The 18,217-nt window shown below is 44.8% G+C and overlaps 1 protein-coding gene across 51 annotated transcripts in view; it reads right to left on the bottom strand.

Moving 5' to 3' along the window:
- Positions 1–18,217, bottom strand: part of NRXN3 (neurexin 3) — a 1,697,919-nt gene that overhangs the window by 1,579,157 nt on the left and 100,545 nt on the right. For 50 of the 51 annotated variants that reach the window (NR_158973.1, NR_158975.1, NR_158974.1 and 47 more), the window contains exon 3: positions 10,473–10,490. The exons of the other annotated variant lie outside the window; for it this stretch is intronic. Coding sequence is in view for 45 of the 50 variants with exons in the window: in XM_011537363.2 (XP_011535665.1) it covers positions 10,473–10,490 (18 nt within the window). In the remaining 5 variants the exon portion in view is untranslated. The remainder of the gene's footprint in view (positions 1–10,472; positions 10,491–18,217) is intronic. 51 annotated transcript variants of the gene reach the window in all.

Below are 18,217 nucleotides of genomic sequence, written 5' to 3'. Positions count from 1 at the left end.
GGACTGATGATGATGATGATTTCCAGAGACTCAGAAGAGAGAGATCCTGCTGCTAATTCTCCAAGATAGGGGTTGCCCAGATTCCAGCCTCTGGGTTTTGCCCTTCCATGATACTACCATGTTCAGTCCTCACCACCTAGCCTTTTGTACCATGTAATCATACCAGCCCACTCACTGTTTGCCACTAGACCAATATTGTTCTTATGGCAAGGTGGCTGGACTGAACAGAAAGGGTTTCTTCCTATCATGCCCATGAGTAACCAACAGCTTCTGTATGGCCTAACTACAGTGTAGGGGAAAGAATGTCTCCAGCATATTCCCAAGCTATTCCATCTCTTAGTGGGGAAGGAGTGGTGAGGCTTCCTCATGCATTAATGCTGTGGAAGACAGAGAGACAAAGGTAGTTATGCCATCACTCTAGGGGCCAAAGGAGCAGCAGTAATGACTTTTAGAAAAGAATCATTCCAAAGGAAAGAAAGTCTTTGCTCTCCAGCTGTCATGAACTTCCCTAAAATAGTTCTTCATTGATGAATGACATGAAGCTAGAAGGGACAGCTGATGTGCTAGATAAAAGCACTGCACCCACATAGATCATGGTGTGATGGATTTTTAAAATCCAAAGCTGGATTTAACAAAGTCAAAGAATGATCCCAAGCTTTAGTTAAATAAACCAACTGCACAAGTCCAGGAAAGGGAGAGAAATGGGCACAAAAATAGTAAAGACTTCCACTGACATTACAATAGTAAAGACTTTCACTGACATTAAGTTCAATTAATACTATAATCTTTTTTTATTAAGGCTAAGGTGTTTGGTGCTGTCATTAATAGATATCTAATCTAGAAAAAGGGAGTCCAGGCCAGGTGCAGTGGCTCACACCTGTAATCCCAGCACTTTTGGAAGCCGAGGCGGGTGGATCACCTGAGGGCAGGAGTTTAAGACCAGCTTGGCCAACATGGCAAAACACTGTCTCTACTAAAAATACGAAAGTTAGCCAGGTGTGGTAGTGGGTGCCTGTAATCCCAGCTACTCAGGAGGCTGAGGCAGGAGAATCGCTTGAACTTGGGAGGCAGAGGTTGCAGTGAGCTGAGATTGCGCCACTGCACTCCAGCCTGGGCAACAGAGCAAGACTCCATCTCAAAAAAAAAAAGGGGGAGTCCTGAGACCACTCTATAATGAACTGAACTGATCCCAATCATACTCATAATACTGTATGTGGTGTGGGCATCCTTCTTTGGAAAGGATGCAAAAAATAAAATGTGTCATTTTTCAGAGAACAATGACCTGGAAGAAAGAATTAAAACCCCTTGTAGGAGAATGCTTAAAAAAAAAACTGGAGATGTTTTAGCCTTTAGAAAAGAAGATCCTTAAAGGCAAAAGCCCTGTCTTCAAACACTAGGAGTGTAATTAGAGCTATTCTGTGTGTCTCCAAGGGCTGGAAGCCATACAGGTGGTGGAGGCTATAGCAACTAGAGATAAGAAAGAGCTTTCAAATGTTCAGTGCTGTTGGAATGGAATGGAAAAGCTAAAGGAGCAATGAGTTGCTCATCTCTGAAAGGGTCCAAGCCAAGTCTGAATCAACTCTTACAGAAGAGATTCAAAAATTAGGTGCACAGAGAGCCTTGACAATCTATTGGGCCTCTTCCTTCCTTGAAATGCTGATTCTAACCACAGGTTTATGAGCACCTACAATGTGGCAGGTAGTGGGGATACATGCATGGATAAATCTCTGTTCTCAAAGAGTAAGACACTGCTGCCCTTCAAGTGCCCACGGTAGCAGATAAGGGGGCCAGAAAATACACAGCTGACTATGGTGTATCATCATGATGGCTTTACTAGACCTATGGCCTAAAAGCCATGGGGAACTCAAAGGAAGATCATCATCCCATCTTCCCTTCTACTTCCTCTTCACAATCTCCCACACTACTCATGATATATGTGGGAGTATAAAATTATGGTGAAGAGTGAAGCTTTCAGGTCCCTTCATCTTCAAGATGACTTTATTTTAAAACAGTGATTCTCAAACTTTGGTTGTATTAGAATCACCTGGGAGAACTATCCTAGTTTAGTGAGCCTGGATCTCATTCATTAGCTCTCCAAGTGATTCTGATGCATACCAGAGTTTGCAGACCACTGCTCTCAATAATCCAAAGCCTGGATTCAAATTCCAGCTCCACCTCTCACTAATGGTGGGACTTCTGAGCAAGTTAACTTTGCACTTCCTTCTGCCTCTCATCTGAAAAATACCTGTAAAATTTCCTGCCTCTCATCTGCAAAATATCCTTTCAGAATCACTGTGACAGTCACATGTAACCACACATGGAATACACTTAGCACAGTTCCTAGCACACAGGAAGGGCTCAAAAGCATGTAGTTATTGCTGCCATTATTTAGGGGACTGGTCTATCTAGGTCCTCTCTCTGCCCTGCCCTCCATCTCTTGCCAACACCATTTCTCTAATAAGCTGGCAGCATTAGCGGACCACCTGCCCAGTGCATCCTCAGATGCCTCCCTACATCGTCACAGTCAGCTAAGCTACCCCATAAAGGGACCCACTGCCCTGGACTCTCAGCTGCATTCCACCTCCTCACCCCTCCTGAGGCCTAGCCTAGCAAACTGACAAGCTTAGCCTCGTCCTTACCAGACCTCCCTAGGCAGGTCTGCAGACTGGGAGGGTCTCCAAGGCTGTCCCAAACTAGCTGTGTGGCTTAGCTGAGTCGTGTAGGAGGTCTGTTGCCTCATTTCCCCCTCCTGGACAGGGAGGGAACTGGTCTAGAATAGTCTCGCAATGGTCTCATCAATGACATTTTGAGCAGCACAAAACTTTGAATGAGGCTCTTCTGCATATCACAGCACATTTAACATTCATTATCCCTTCCTTCTAAATGCCACTGCTGCCCTCAACACTGGAGCAACAAATAAACACCTCCGCCCATTTGGCAGGGTCAGGGGCAGGATACCACAAATGATTTTTCCAGCTAAAACTCTGGCCTTGCCCTCCAGAACTGGGAAATGAAATGTGACCATAACCAATACCCCGGTGGGTCTGCCTAAGACAATAAAGGAGGGATTTCTAACGGCTCTAGAAAAAAGCACCAAGGCCCAGTGATCTGCATCCCTGAGTGAGCCAAAGCTGGAGGCAGGTTGAGAAGCAGCTCCTTACTCACACTTACTCATCGAGAACAGCTACAGGAGCCAGGGGGGTCTTCCTGGGCCCCAGCCAGGCAATTGGCTGGGAATTGAGCACTGTTAGCCCAGCTGAGGGCCCCCTTCCAATCTAATTACACGCAATGGAGGTAGATTTCCCTGCAGCCTCCATCTCCCACTGAGCCAAGCCCAAGATGGGCACTGAATAAAGATTCATTCAATTACCTTCTGTCTCAGGGTGAACCCCAATAAAAAGCGGACTTTCTTTCAGCAGGATGTGGGATAAAACAAAGAGCTGAGTCCTAAGCACTGTTGATTCATTCAGGAAGTGTTTTTCTGTGCCTGCAATGTATTGTCAGAGTTCTAGGCTAAGAGGGCACAGTTGTAAACACCAGTGTACCTTTGTGAAGTGTACACTCTAGTGGAACTCCCTAGGAGATGTCTCCTGGGCCGCACCTACCAGGGTTTGCATTCTGTTCCACTACTTTTTACTGGGTTGTATCAGTGAGGTACTTATTGTACCTGAGCCTCAATTGGTTCATGGGTGAAATGGGCCAAATAGCAATTTACCTCCTAGGGATGTCAAAAACATTAAATGAGGCATGTAATACTTAATATTTCCATGCCTGGCTTAAAATACAAGCTCAACAATTTCAAGTGTTTTTTTCTCATAAAGTAATAAGGAAGAAAAGCAAGTAAGAGTATTGCCCCAAAGAATAGCAAAGAAAAAACAAAATATCTCATAGGTACTACTAGAGTTAGGAGGTTGAAGTCTTTGGTAATGGAGAAGGCATTCTCCTGGTTGCTATTCCCCAAGGTATCTCAGTCAGATGGTCTAAGCATACAGCCTCAGAATCAAAGAAGCCTGAAAGGTCATCTGATTCTAATCTATCAGGTTAAAGAAAAGAAGCCTATTGCCCAGAGAGGTTACATGACTTGCCCAAGGGCGTACACCTCCTGGGAAAAGTGGCAGAACTACCAAGCAGAATTCCAGACCTGCATTTACATTCTGAAACTTACCATCCCTGCTTCTGACCTTGGGCAAAGGATGCAATGTCTTGGAGCTCAAGGTTCTTCATTGGTGAAGTGGTAGGTGCCTGGCACACTGTGGGTTCTCTACAAAATATTGGTCTCCTTTGCCCCTTTTTACTGGTTCCTAAGCCCCACTTGAGAACAATGGCTGGGATCTAAGTTTGAGGGACCTCTTGACTGCAAGCACAAAGGGCAGGACAGATGGGAGAGAATATGAGACAGGAGAGAACAGCAGGTGTGTTTGGGGAGGTTCTACGGCACTGCACAGGAGCATGCCTCAAGACAATTAGGGAGACCAAGACACAGCTACAACGGTGGGTTGATTTTCCGTTTTTAAAAAAACCTTTCTGAGCCAAAGTATTTTCATCTATAAAATGGAAACATGTGCTTAAAGGATCAAATGGATAACTTATGTGAACCCCGAAAATCTGAGGTCTCAGTTAATTTAGAAAGTTTATTTTGCCAAAGTTGAGGACCCACTCTGACACAGCCTCAGGAAGTCAGCAGGACACGTACCCAAGGAGGTCCAGGCACAACTTAGTTTTATATATATTAGGGAGACATGAGATATCAATCAATGTATGTAAGAAGTACATTGGTTAGGTCTGGAAAGGCGGGACAACTTGAAGCAAAGGCAAGAAGAGAGGAGGGGGCTTCCACGTCACAGAAAGGTGAGAGATGAAGGGTTGCATTCTTTTGAGTTTCTGATTAGCCTTTCCAATGGAGGCAATCAGATATGCATCTATCTCAGCGAGCAGAGGGGTGGCTTTGAATAGGAGGCAGGTTTCCCCTAAGCAGTTCCCAGCTTGACTTTTCCCTTTAGTGATTTGGGGGCCCCAAGATTTATTTTCCTTTCACATTTATACTAATAGCTATTTTATATATGGCTAACTATGTGCCAGGCACTGTTCTAACACAAGCTCGAAACAACTCCATGAGGTAGGTTCTCTTATTGTCCCCATTTTGCAGATGAAAGAAGTGGAACCCCCACAAAGGTAAAGTAACTTGAATAGGTCACAGTGCCATGATAGAGACAGAGGTGGCAAACTTTTGTTTAATAAGGAGCCAGATTGTAAACACTTTAGAGGCTGTGAGGCTCTATCACAACTATGCAACTCTGCCTGTGCAGCTCAAAAGTAGCCGAAGACAGGCCAGGTGAGGTGGCTCACACCTGTAATCCCAGCACTTGGGGAGGCTGAGGCAGGTGGATCACAGGTGGTCAGGAGTTTGAGACAAGCCTGGCCAACATGGTGGAACCCCGTCTCTGCTAAAAATACAAAAATTTGCTGGGCGTGGTGGCACACACCTGTAATCCTCGCTACTCGAGAGGCTGAGGCAGAAGAATTGCTTGAACCCGGGAGGCAGAGGTTGCAGTGAGCTGAGATTGCACCATTACATGCCAGTCTGGGTGACAAGAGCGAAACTCCATCTCAAAAAAAAAAAAAATGTTAGCCAGAGACAATGCATAAAGGAATAAAGGAATAGGTGTGGCTATGTTCCAAAAGAACTTTACGAGCATGGAAATTCAAATTTCATAAAATTTTTGTCTTACAAATTGTTCATCTTCTGACTGTTCCCAGCCATTTAAAAATGTAAAACCCATTCTTAGCTTTCAAGCCATACAAAACCAGGCTGCAAGCTGGATTTGACCCTCAAGCTATAGTTTGCCAACTCCTGCTCCATCCTATGCTATCTTGCCTTACATCTACATGAAAGATGTAACATGTCAGACAGAGTGTGCCTGAACAGTGACCAGCGCAGACTAAGTGGTCAGTAAGTGTTCATTCTCGTTCCCTTCCCTAATCTCGTTCTTCTTCTTCCTCCCCACAACCAGATCAGATATCTCATTCTGTGCCCAGCACAAGAGAGGAAGACGAGGGCTTTCGCAAGGTGAACCGCAACTTCTCAGTAAAGACAGCCCTGTTGGTCCCAAATGGGAGGAGAGAGTGGGAATTTGAGCTCAGTGTGGCTCAAACTTTAATGAGTATACACCTAGAGGTCCTGATAAAATGCAGATTCTGATTCAGCAGGCCTGAGAATCTGCTGGTCGGTTCTGCAGGTCGCCCTGTGAGCAACAAGCTTCAAGTGCATCCCCTCTGTGTCCACAAACAAAAGTCAGACTAGAGCTGTCTCCAAGCTTTGGGTTCAGGCTGGACTGAGTGGCTCCCTGGAGACAGGGCAAGGCCCAGGACACATAATCAGGTCCCCTCCCCAAGGACAGCCTGAGATGACTTACAATGGAGGAGGAACACAATACGGGGCGGAGATCAAGAGCGGGTAGGGGAAGGCTCCAGCAAAGGTATCTGTTCCTTTGGCAACAGCAGACGGAGGCCTCCTGGGGGCCCAGCAGACAGGAGCCCCTCCCACAGTGCCTGCCAGGGCTCTGATGGATGGAAGCAGGAGGCCTATTTCCTCATCGGGCCTCTGAATAACTAGGGCACTTCCACAAGGTCACAGTTATTCATTTAAATTCCAGGTCTAATCAGCAGGCAGAGCCTGAGAAATTATCCCTTCGGAGGAGAGAGGCTGTCATTGGAGCACCATAAACAGCCCCTCCAGGCAGGAGGGAGAAGCACTGGGGGAGGGGAGAAGAAGGGTCTCACACCCAGAGGTCCCAGAATTGTTCCCTGTGCTCTAACCCACTACTCTTCCCTCTTCCTCACCTCCAAATGGCTTCCAGAGAGTTCTAGAACAGGCAAAAAGCAGGGGAAGGTTAAAGGCAGGGCAGAGATGCCCACCTCTGCCCTACAAGCAGCCCAGGAAGACCAGTGACAAATCCCAATGTACAAAAGCATGGGATAAGGCACCTGACAGGGGTCCCTGCCAGGCCACAAATGGGTAACATGGCCTTGGATAGGTCCTTTCCCTTCTTGGGCCTCAGTTTGCACTCCTTGGACAGGATACCCTTTAAGCTCCACCATGTCTTGGAACCCTGCAAACTCAAAACTCCCCATGTGCTTGTGGCCATACTTCTTGTTCAATAGAGATTTTTGAGGTTAAGCTCTGTGCCATGTGCTGTGCAAAGAGCTGGGAATGCAGACACAAATAGGACACAGCCTGGCCCACAGCTCTGTCATGTGAAAGGCAGGGTCTGGAAGAACAAGAGCACAAGCTTTGGAGGCAGACAGATCCGGGATCCTGGCCTAGTCACCAGCAGGAGGTGACCTGGGCAAGTTACTGAAGCTCCCTGCAGCAGCTTTTCTCCATCTGTGCTGAGGATGGTAACATCAACCTGGAGGAGCTGACATGGAGGGTTAAGAGAATGTCAGAGCTGGGCTCCCGGGCCCTCTTCAGCACCTGCCAAGTGCTTATTGTTACTGTTATTATTCTGAACCTCCTCCCCAAAGGTTACAAGCAGGGAATGTGGATTTCACCCCATGAAGTGGAAGAAAATGTGCCTGCCCCTTTTTCCTGGGTGCCCTGGGCTCTTGCTCCAAGTCCCTAACCTGTCTCTGGGACCTTGGGAAAGGTGTTGCCCACCAGGCCCCATCTCAGACTGCTTTACAGTAGGGTTACTTCTAACTCATCTCCTCCACATGTAAAATTAATCAATTAATCAATCATCCCTTTATAGTCTTCCAGCGGCCTCTGGGTAAATAGTTACATTAGCTCATAAAATCCCCAACTTGACTTCCTGAGGGGAAGGAAAAAAGAGTCAGAGAACTGCTGAAGGCTTCTTGTTTCAGAACCACAGCGCTGTCGGCTCCAGAATGCCTGGCAAGGGGCTCAGAGAGGCAGGAGGCCCCCACTGACCTCAGCCAGGGCCGGGCACGCTCAGGCCACCTCCTGCCATGTCCAGGGCCCCAAGTGAAGGGTCCAAACCAGTGATTTGCTTCAGGCTCAGAAACCACAAAAAAGCAAGGGGTTGGTGGGGCAACAAGATTGGTAATCAGCCCTTGACACTTCGAGGAAAGAATGAAGAGCACAAGATCTGAAATTAGGCTGCAATCCCCTCTTGGCCCTGCCACTCAACAGCTGGGTGACCGTCACACATCATTTAACTTCCCTGGGCCCCAACTTCCTCAACACTGAAATGACACTCGGGCTACACACCTCAGAGGGATAACAGAACAAAATGAGACAACAGCCATGAAATTGAAATGGTGTGGGCCAGGCTGGTCATAGTTGCTGTTATCTGAGGAAGGGTATTCCTCAGACTTCTACCCCTTTGAAAGGATGGCAGAAGGCCTATGGGTCCACTGCATTTCACTCCACCATGTTATCTCACCCAGGACCAATATGGCGCCTGTGTGAGCACTAGAAAAAGATGCCCCTTTTGTCAGAGGCAGCCTCATGGGCACAAGCTTGGCAAGAGGAACACAGGTTGGATTCATACCCCCATTCACCCCCTTGGCTGGGAGACCCTATGCAGGGCCCAGCTCTATGTGGTGACCCCTGGTCACTTCTCTGCTGGGAACCAGAAAGAGAAGCCGCCACGTGGCACTTTACAAACAAAACGAGGTGTTGGACTTACTCCCTCGCTTCCTTGAGGTTTCCCAGCAAATATCATCTTATCAGAGGGTACTTCCCTGACTACCTATTGTAAATTAGGGACTTCTCCTCTATCCTGCTTCAATTTTCTCCACAGCACTTCCCATCCACCCCCTGATACTATACATATGTAATATATACATAACATGCATATACAAAACATGCATATACGTGTGTATATATGTATGCATATAAAGCATATGTATATATACATAGATATGTGTGTGTCTGCGTGTACATTTTAGATCATTGTCTGCCTCTGTCTAAAATAAAAGGTCCATGAGGGCACTGAATGTCTTCTGTTTTGTTCACTGTTTTGTCCCCATGGCCTAGAACAGTTCCTGGAACATAAATATTTGTTGACTGAGCGATTGAACTAAAATATTATTAAATAGAAATAATAAACTTAATGGCATCTTCCTAGGAAATGCTGTCCTGGGCTTTGGTTCAAACACCAATTATTTTCAAAGGTAGGGAGCAGGCAGGAAGAAATGGAGAGAAACTCTCTGCATTAAGTAGAATAACTGTATTCTACTTTTATGTTGTGTAAGATCCCACACAGAACAATGATCAGAAGAACCCTACTTAAGTCTGGTTGATTATTTTAGACATTTAAGAACAATAAAAAGATAAATTCATTTGGAAAGAAGGCTGCTAATAAAGAAAATGTCAAGTATCTCTAAGCAAAAACAAACAAATAATCAATAGTCTCATTAGGAAATACTTACAAAATCTTTAATCACTGAGAATTTTCACTTACAGGTCCCAGCATGTTCCAATGGAGAGTCAGAAGTTCAAATCCCAGTGCTACCACTGACAAGCTCTATGATCGTGGGCAAAACTGCTTAACCTAACAGGCCCTAAATTTCCTGTACATTAAAATGAATATAATGATACTTATCTCGTATTAATGCTATAAAAATTAAATATTAAAAGGACTAAACAAGAAAACATGTGAAAACACCTGAAATGATGCTCCCTTCCTATTTGGTCAAGTTAATTATTCTTTTTAACTCAAAGTTCTAGCCAGTTCAGAATAGTCTCCAAACCATTCTAAGTCATCTGACACTTATCCATAAATGCCTGCATCAGTTCACATGATTCTATGTATGTGTGTGTGCATATATATTTGTCTATACACACGCAATGCTTAAAACCAGGACTCTGGATGAAGACACACTTTAAAAAGAGAAATGCATAATTATTATAAACGTGGTTCTTTAATTTTTCCATTGACAAAAACCATTTATTCAAACCATCCTGCTTTTTTTTTCCACAGTGAGCATGTATTATTTACATAACCAGGAAAAACAATAAATATTGCTGGTTTCATTGTGAAAAAGACATTTCTGAGAATAAAAAGAAAGAAACCTCCTTTCACCCACATCACATTTTCCATGCTACGTATGTCATATCTTCTGCTTTCAACCACATGAAGCTAGAGAAGATAAGCAGATGTGTGAAAGACAAAGCTAACGTTGTTCATTAAATTGGAGAATACATATCTAAGAACAACTTTACAAATACTTTCCCAAAAATGTTCATTTTCTGAATCACCCAGAAATACTAATGAGAAGGAAGTGATTATATTAAGTATGAGAACCATATTCCTTTGGCTTTAAAATGGTTCTTCAAAACCAATACAAATCCATTAATTCAATGCATTTCTTCTTCTAAACCTAGATCAGTGAAAATGCAATACACTTAGAATTTTGTCTCTATAAAAGTCTCACTCAGACTCAAACCATGCACAATCTAGCAGAGGGGAAATTCCCACAGCAGCTGTGCAAACACAAAGACTCACCTGGATCTTGACTGACATCTGTGGCAGCATTTTCAAAGGGAGGGAAAGGGAGAGAGGAGAGAAAAGGGGAGAAAAAGGAAGAAGAGTGTTAGCAGCACACACACACACAATGCAATGTGCTCTTGCATGACTATCAAGTTCATGCAAGCCCCAGAGGTACTCAGCTTCTGAGCACTTAGTTCCACCTTCACCCAAAAACCACCCATGCAAGCCGAGGGGCCAAGCTCCCTTTTCACTTTGCATGTAGCAAGAGAGGTAAGCTTCACATCTGTCCGGAAAGACATCATCCTGGAATCAGATAGGGCTTCAAAGAGCCAAGCAGACTGGAATCCTGCAAGAATATTGGTTAAAATATTCTGGTTGATTTCTGCACACTGACACCAAAGCAAATCCTCCTCCTCCCCGTCTTTGGATACCAAACACTGGACATGAAGTCAAGCAAGGTTTCCCAGCAGAGAGAAAAAGTAAAAATGAACCACTCCCTTGAGAAACAAAGCAAAAGAGGCATAAGAATTAAGAGCAAGTTACAGATTTATTCACCACATAGGACTGAAGGACATAAGGTCACAAAATATTTACAATTCCCCGCCTCCCCAGTACACCCAGTGACCACGCTTCATCACAGACAGCAGTGTGTGTGCATGAGATTGTGTGTGAGTAGATCATTCATCAAACAAATTGAAATCCTGCCTCCTACTTTAATTTTTTTCCTTGCTTTTCACCCTAACACTAATGACAGAAATTGCCACTTGAAATCACTTTTGACAACTACGAATAAACACCCAACCCTAGACAGGTTGACATTTGAATTAAGCCAATGAACTTTCAGAAAATGAAGAACGGTTCGCGCCTATCAGCCCCATGAACAACATAATCTCCTCCTCCTTCCCTCAGATGTGAAATAGAATCGGGCTGGGGAAGCATAACCCAGAGCAGCCCAAGGCACTGTTAAAACCCCTAGACCCAACCTGAGAGGATATACCACAGCAGAGGAGAAGGAACAAGGGGCTGCTTCAGGAAACAATGACCAACCTGGCAGTCTTGGATAGCTCACTTAGAATCACTGAATGGTGGATCTGGAGTAGCCACAGACACTAAGTACCTAGTTTAGTTCTTTTTTGTTAAGATGGAGGATGAAAAAGTAGAGAGACTTATATAAGGTCACACAGCTACTTCAGGGGCACAGACTAGAAAATATCCTAGATCTCTTGCATACCACCTAGTCCATCATTCATTCAACTGAAGCCTAGGTCCCTCAAGAGCATACAGGACCTGAATTTGGTTTGCAGATTAAAGTGATCATGCTGAAGCCATGGGGAAGCTGGGTGAGCGTCTCCCACCTGCCCTATGAGTGGGTCATGGTTTATTCTCTGTGCCTCTAATTTGCTGCCTGAACAGGATGGGTAATGTTCTTCATGCCAACCGATAATGAAACACCTGCAATCAGATTTGTAAAGCTCCAGTGTGTCCTTAGGGCCCTTGCCCCAGGAAATCCAGGTGCTGACCAACTAAGCTGTGCCCCAGAATGAACATACCCATAGCAACAGCTGAGCACTTCTCTAGCCCCCACCTTGCCTCCCCTAGAAGCTGTATCTGCCCAAAGAAACTTCTAGAAAGCTCTGAATCATGCCTCAGCCACACCGCCCCTTCAGGTTTTCTAGTGTGTTAGATTTAGGGATGAATGGCAGGAAGAAGAGAAGAGGTGGAAAGGGAAAAAGTGTTGTATAAATAACTAGGCGGGTCCATTAACTGTTACTGATGGATTGCCTGGAATAGATGTTAAAATACCCCTTAATTAAACAGGATATCAAACTATTTACATGTGGCCGAGTTCTGTGGCAGAAGAATGTCAACACCATTGTTCATACAAATAGGCTCCTTGGGGACACCAAGTCACAGGGAGACAGAATTCCTTGGAACTCCAAAGGTTTTTCGATACTGGTTACTTGCCCATTTGGGGATGTGATTACAATCTTAAATTTCAGAGGCGGACAGGTCTGGGTTCAAATCCCAGCCTCTCTGTGGCCTTGGACCCATCATTTAACTTCTAAGAGTCATCTTCCTTGGCTATAAAATGAGAATGATATCAGAGCCTCCCTCATGGGGGTGTTATGAGAATTAAATGAGATTAAATGCTTGTAAAGCACTGAACTAAGTACAATGCTACATAACGTTAGTGACTCTGATTGTCATCACTTTGAATTACCACAGACGGAAATATCAAAAAATATTGACCAGATGGCTCACTGGAAACACCAAGAGATCACAGGAATGAAGCCAGTGATTTTGGTTCCACTTTTCTACTTATGAATAAGGACATCTGCTCCCGATCTCCCCTCCCTCTGGTTCTTTCCCACCCCATTCCTCAGTGTGAAGTGAGGGGGCGAACAGAAGCAAGGATCAAAACAAATTCCATCCTTATTTCTTTTGTTTTCCCTCCTCAAGTCTCAATTTGGCATAGTTCTAGTCCTGTATGTAAAAATACTGCACCTATTCTTGTCAAAGAGGGGCAACAATCCCACCAAAAACAAACAAATGAACAAAATCTTCTGGCTGGGGATCAAGGTCCAAGCTCAGTTCCTAACTGTGGCACTGACCTGGAGGCAGGTCTGAGCATTATTCCAACTTTAGGAATAGAGACACATTATCACCTGGCCCCTGGCCCAAGAAGCAGTGAGTGACCTGAATCTCTGGACTCAATTCTGATTGACAGAACGAAATGGCAAAGGTAAGAGGTAGACGAAGGAGGGGGATGGCTAGCAGGTAAGGATCAAAACCTTAGCAGTGTCTATCTGCCAGACTGTCTATCCAGCATCCCTTTCCTCTTCTTCTTGTAGCAGTCCTCAGCTGTTTTCCAGGGAAAGCCCCCTTCCCAGCCTTAGCCCACGTGGTTTGCTAGAGGTGACCCCCACTCCCACTTGAGCTCCAAGGGTAGTAGTCATGTGACTCAGTCCAGGTCTTGAGAATATTCTATTTCCAATAATTGGCTCAGGAACAGACCTATGACCCAAGCCCAACCAATGAGAGTCTTCCCAGAGAATTTTACTGGAATTATCAGGAAATGGGGTGCTTTCATTTCTCTAGAGCTGCCATATTCCATTTTTGTTACCATGTGAAGACAGCTTACCTAAAAATATGGGGAGCATAGAAGAAAACAGCTTTTCTTAATAAGGGGATTAAGATGATCTAGAACCAAATCCTAGCTCTACCCCCTCATCTAGAGGCAACTGCCTTAGCTTCTCTGAGCCTCAAACTTATCATGTATAAATGGAGATACTAAAAGTATTTCTGCGAGTTTTATCAATGAAGATCATCTATTCACCATTCAATACCTATTGGCCGAGCATCTATCATAGGCTGAACTCTGCTTTAAACATTGGAGATACAAGCAGTGAATGAAACAGACAATACTCTTGGGTTTTAATGGGAATAAAAACAGATACATAATGTCAAATAGTGATTGGAGCCATGAAGAAAGGAAAAGTAGAGTAAGTGCCAGCAGAGTATCCCCATTTTAGAGAAGGTAGTTAAAGAGGTCTTTCTGAGGAAGTAGTATTTGAGCTGATACCTGAAGAAGGTGAGAAACACTCTTCTGTATACCTGACAAAGACTACTTAGGCAGGGGAATAGCAAATGCAAAAGATCTAGGCTGTACCTGTTCAGTTAGTTATTTCTAAGTTATGATAGAAAAACTGAGGACTGGCTCACATTACTCCCACCTTCCTAGCTCTACCATTCACACACGTCCTCAGTAGGTAACAGGTACTCAAGAAATATTCAGGGGGAAAAAGTAATCCTGATGAAAACTAGCTCTGTCCCAGTTGCAGCCACCTCCCTTAGGATCTCCATGCTCTAAACAGTAGGAACAAAACAGGAAAGAAAGAATTGGAAACCCACTTCCGTCTTTCACCCACTCTCTTCAGCATCACAACCAGGCAAGAAGGAAATTAGGGTATTCCTGCCTCCACTCTGAATCCCATGGACACTTACTGCATATTCAACAATAACTTCAGCCACAAGTGCATATGCTCAGCATGGTCATCCTCAAGTCCAAGGGAAACAATTTTCTGCAGTTTGGGGAACCTGGTTCTTCTAACCTGATACGGTTTTGCTGTGTCCCCATCCAAATCTCATCTTGAATTGTAGTTCCCGTAATCCCCACAAGTCATGGGAGGGACCCAGTGGGAGATAATTTAATCATGGGGGCAGTTACACTCATGCTGTTCTTGTGGTAGTGAATAAGTTCTCACAAGATCTGATGGTTTTATAAGGGGCTTTTCCCCCTTTTGCTCAGCACTTCTCCTTCCTGCCACCATGTGAAGGACATGTTTGCTTCCCCTTCTGCCATGATTGTAAGTTTCCTAAGGCCTCCCCAGCCCTGCAGAACTGAGAGTCAATCAAACCTCTTTTCTTTATAAATTACCCAGTCTCAGGCATTCCTTCACAGAAGCATGAGAACAGACTAATACATAACCATTGGGAGGAAAAGAAAGGGCCCATCATTCACCACTATTGCACTTGCAGAAGCTAGCTCAGCCGGGGTAGTCCTCCCACCTCACTCTTCATTTGTACTAGATCATTTGGACGGACAGGTATGAGTCCAAGATTCTCCTGACTTGCTACTTCAACTCCCCCATGCCTCTGGAAGAGCTCTGGGGAGCATGGGACAGGCTGCACAGCCAGCCTCCTGTAGGCGAGTCCCAGTCAAACCTTCTGGGACCCCACCTGGTGAACTCTGCCTTGAGTCTGACCTATTTTCTAGGAGAGAAAATAGAATACAGATTTAAATGCAGTGGCGCTCTGGAAAACTACAGGCCCATCAGTATGAGAAAATAAAACAGCAGGAGGTAGCTGAAGAAGTGTGCTGGCACAGGGGAAAATGCCACCACCCCTAGATCAATCTTACCTGGTTTGTCAACTGCCTTTTCTTCTGCAATCTGCCCCCACTTTTTGTCTATTAAAAGTTGATACACACATATGTATACACACATATTTACCTATGTATTTCCTCTGGCCAGTCCTGGGGCTCTAGGCTGCTCCTCCATACACAGACCCCAGCTGGTCTAACAGGAGCATCCACAGGCAGAGGGAGCTGTATAGATGAGACCCTCAGAAATGGGGAGGCAGCAAGGCAAGGAGTCAGAAACACCTGCAGCTGCGTCCCTTCTGTGTCTGTCTGCCTTCCTTCTGTGTGACAAGAGGAAAGGTTTGGGGTTGATTTTTATAATACTCTTATCCTCTCATATATGAAGGTAATAAAATCACCAGCTGACATTGACTGAGGGCTGTCTATGTGCTAGGCACTGTTCTAAGTGCCTCACAACAACCCGATGAGGTAGGAACTATTACCACACTCATTTTACAGATAAGGAAACTGAGGCACAGAAAGCTTAGGTAACTGGCCAAAAGTCACACAGCCTGTGGAGCCAGAACCTGAATCCTGGACATCCAGCTGTGGATTCCCCTTTCTGTCAATTACCATTCTGGCAGTATCAGCCCATCAGAGGGTGAACGTGAGGACAAAATGGGATAAAAGCAATATTAATCCTAATAAAGCTCATATTTATTAAGCATTCTCTGTGTGCTGTTATACAGGATGGGGTCTGTGTATGGGGAAGCAGCACTGGGCCCCAGGACTGGCCTGAGGAAATATCTATGCAAATATGCGTGTATACATATGTGTATATTGATTTTTTTAATAGACAAAAAGTGGGGGTAAATTGCCGAAGAAAAGACAGTTTACAGCCAGATAAGATTGATTTAAGGGAGTTGGCATCCTCCCCTAGGTCATATGCATCATCTTATTTAATCTTCATTAAAACCCTAACAGGTAGAAACGGTATTCATCCTATTTTACAGATAAGGAAACTAAGACCTAGAGAGGTTGCACTATGATTATACCTCTCAGACTCAGCAGCACATCAGGTAAGGGTCAAACTATATTTTTGAATGTAAGAGCAAACCAGGACAGAAACCATCTAACCCATGGAGCTACAAATTAGGTATGAGAATATTGGGCATCTCACAGAAGTAAGAAAAAGGTATTTCAAGGGACAGAGGAAAGGGGTAAAATGCAGTAATGCCGTAGGCCTGAGCAACTGGAGCCCCTGCCCTGGGCTATATGTTTTAGAGGGGCCCATTCTGTTCCTTCTGCAGCCACATCCCAGCCCAGGAACTGAAGAGTCCACAGATCAAATAGATGTTTCCACCTAGAGCCAGCAATACTTGCCCCACCCTTATAGAATATGCTCTGGTACCCAGAATTCCTCGCCCAATTGCTCCAAATCTAGATGGGCCTCTTCCCAGGGTCCATTCTCTCAAAGCAGACCAACCTACTGGTATGTGCACTCTAGTGTCAAAAAGTGGCCAAGAAGAAGCTGTCTGCAGGAGTTGTGGGCTTCTACAGGCTGGGGCGTCACATAAACGTGCATGAGGGCCTTCCTGGTGCTAGCAAAGAGAGAAGGGAGGCTGGCCACTGGCCTCCATGTATAGTCTTGCCTCAGGCCCTCAAATAGCAGGGCAGGCCTTCCACTAAAGATTACACTGAGCCATAACATTAGAAGAAAAAACAAAAAAAAAGGCAAAGACTGCACCTCCCCAGTGGCCTATTGACTCCTGCCCCCAGGAAAGATGAGCATAAGGTTTTCCCTTCTTCTTCAAGAACAAACACAGAAACAATTTTTTCAGTTAAGAACTAAAGCAAACTTCCAGCAGTGAGGAGGTTGTTTCCTTCGTTCTAGGGCTCTTTCTGGCTCTCAGTGTCTGAGCTCTTCAAACACAGGAAGAGTTGTCTCCATAAAAGGCCGGGTGGTGTTAGCTTTATCCCCGACATAAGGGTCCATTCATCTACCTTCATAGAGGACTGAGCCCCAGAGCCCTGGTGCTGTTTGCTTTTGTTCTTTGATGCTAATAACTCCAGATTGCAAGATGGAGCATCAGTAGCAGCTATATCAGGCACCAGTCAGCCTGGGCAGGCAGCGGCCAGGAGGGGAAGAGGAAGGACCAAGGCAGGCATTTCTGTGGGCCAGGTCACTGCTGTACTCAAACACCTTCAGGGGCTCTCACATACTTGCAGTGGCTCTGGCTTGAGGAAACAGGGTTTGACAGTTGCGAGAAGAGGCAATCTGGTTGTTACAGATATAATCAGAGATCAGTGCAGACAGCCCTTTTGTTTTTTTTTTTTTTTAAATGCTTTAGAAGTTTTGAGAACAGGCATGGGAGTAAGGTAGCCTGGGTTTGAATCCCAGCTTTGCCACTTGTCATTTAAAATATTTTTGGCAAATTTCTTAGGTTCATGGTCCTCTTCTGCCACACAGGAATAATGGTAGTAAAGCCAGTTCTGCCAGAAGCATGTATGCAATCCTAAAAGTCATTTTGCTGTGCAAAATCATACAGTAAAAATCACAGAGCTTAACCGGAAAGATGAAGTTGGGATGCAACACCTATAAACTTCATCAGTGACACGTAATAGAGGAAGCAGTTCTATACATGTTAAATCACTAAGAAGTACGTAAGTACTACAATAAATATGGCACTTTTAACAGACCTGAAGTTTGTCTGTGAAAATGGGAAGCTTATGAATCATTGTAAAGTGTAGGAGGAGGATCTCCTGGAATTGGACACAAAGTTGAAACATCATTTGTGGGGTGGGACTCATAACACACACGGTAGCTGAAGTTGCTGGTACAAGTTTGAGATGTGTGCACTTTGAGTGTTCCTACACAGCTTGCTTCTGCTGGCTGCAG

Source organism: Homo sapiens, chromosome 14 (assembly GCF_000001405.40).
Source record: "Homo sapiens chromosome 14, GRCh38.p14 Primary Assembly".
NCBI lineage: Eukaryota > Metazoa > Chordata > Mammalia > Primates > Hominidae > Homo > Homo sapiens.
Note: the sequence above shows the minus strand (reverse complement) of the source record. Positions and strands in the feature narration are given on the sequence as shown.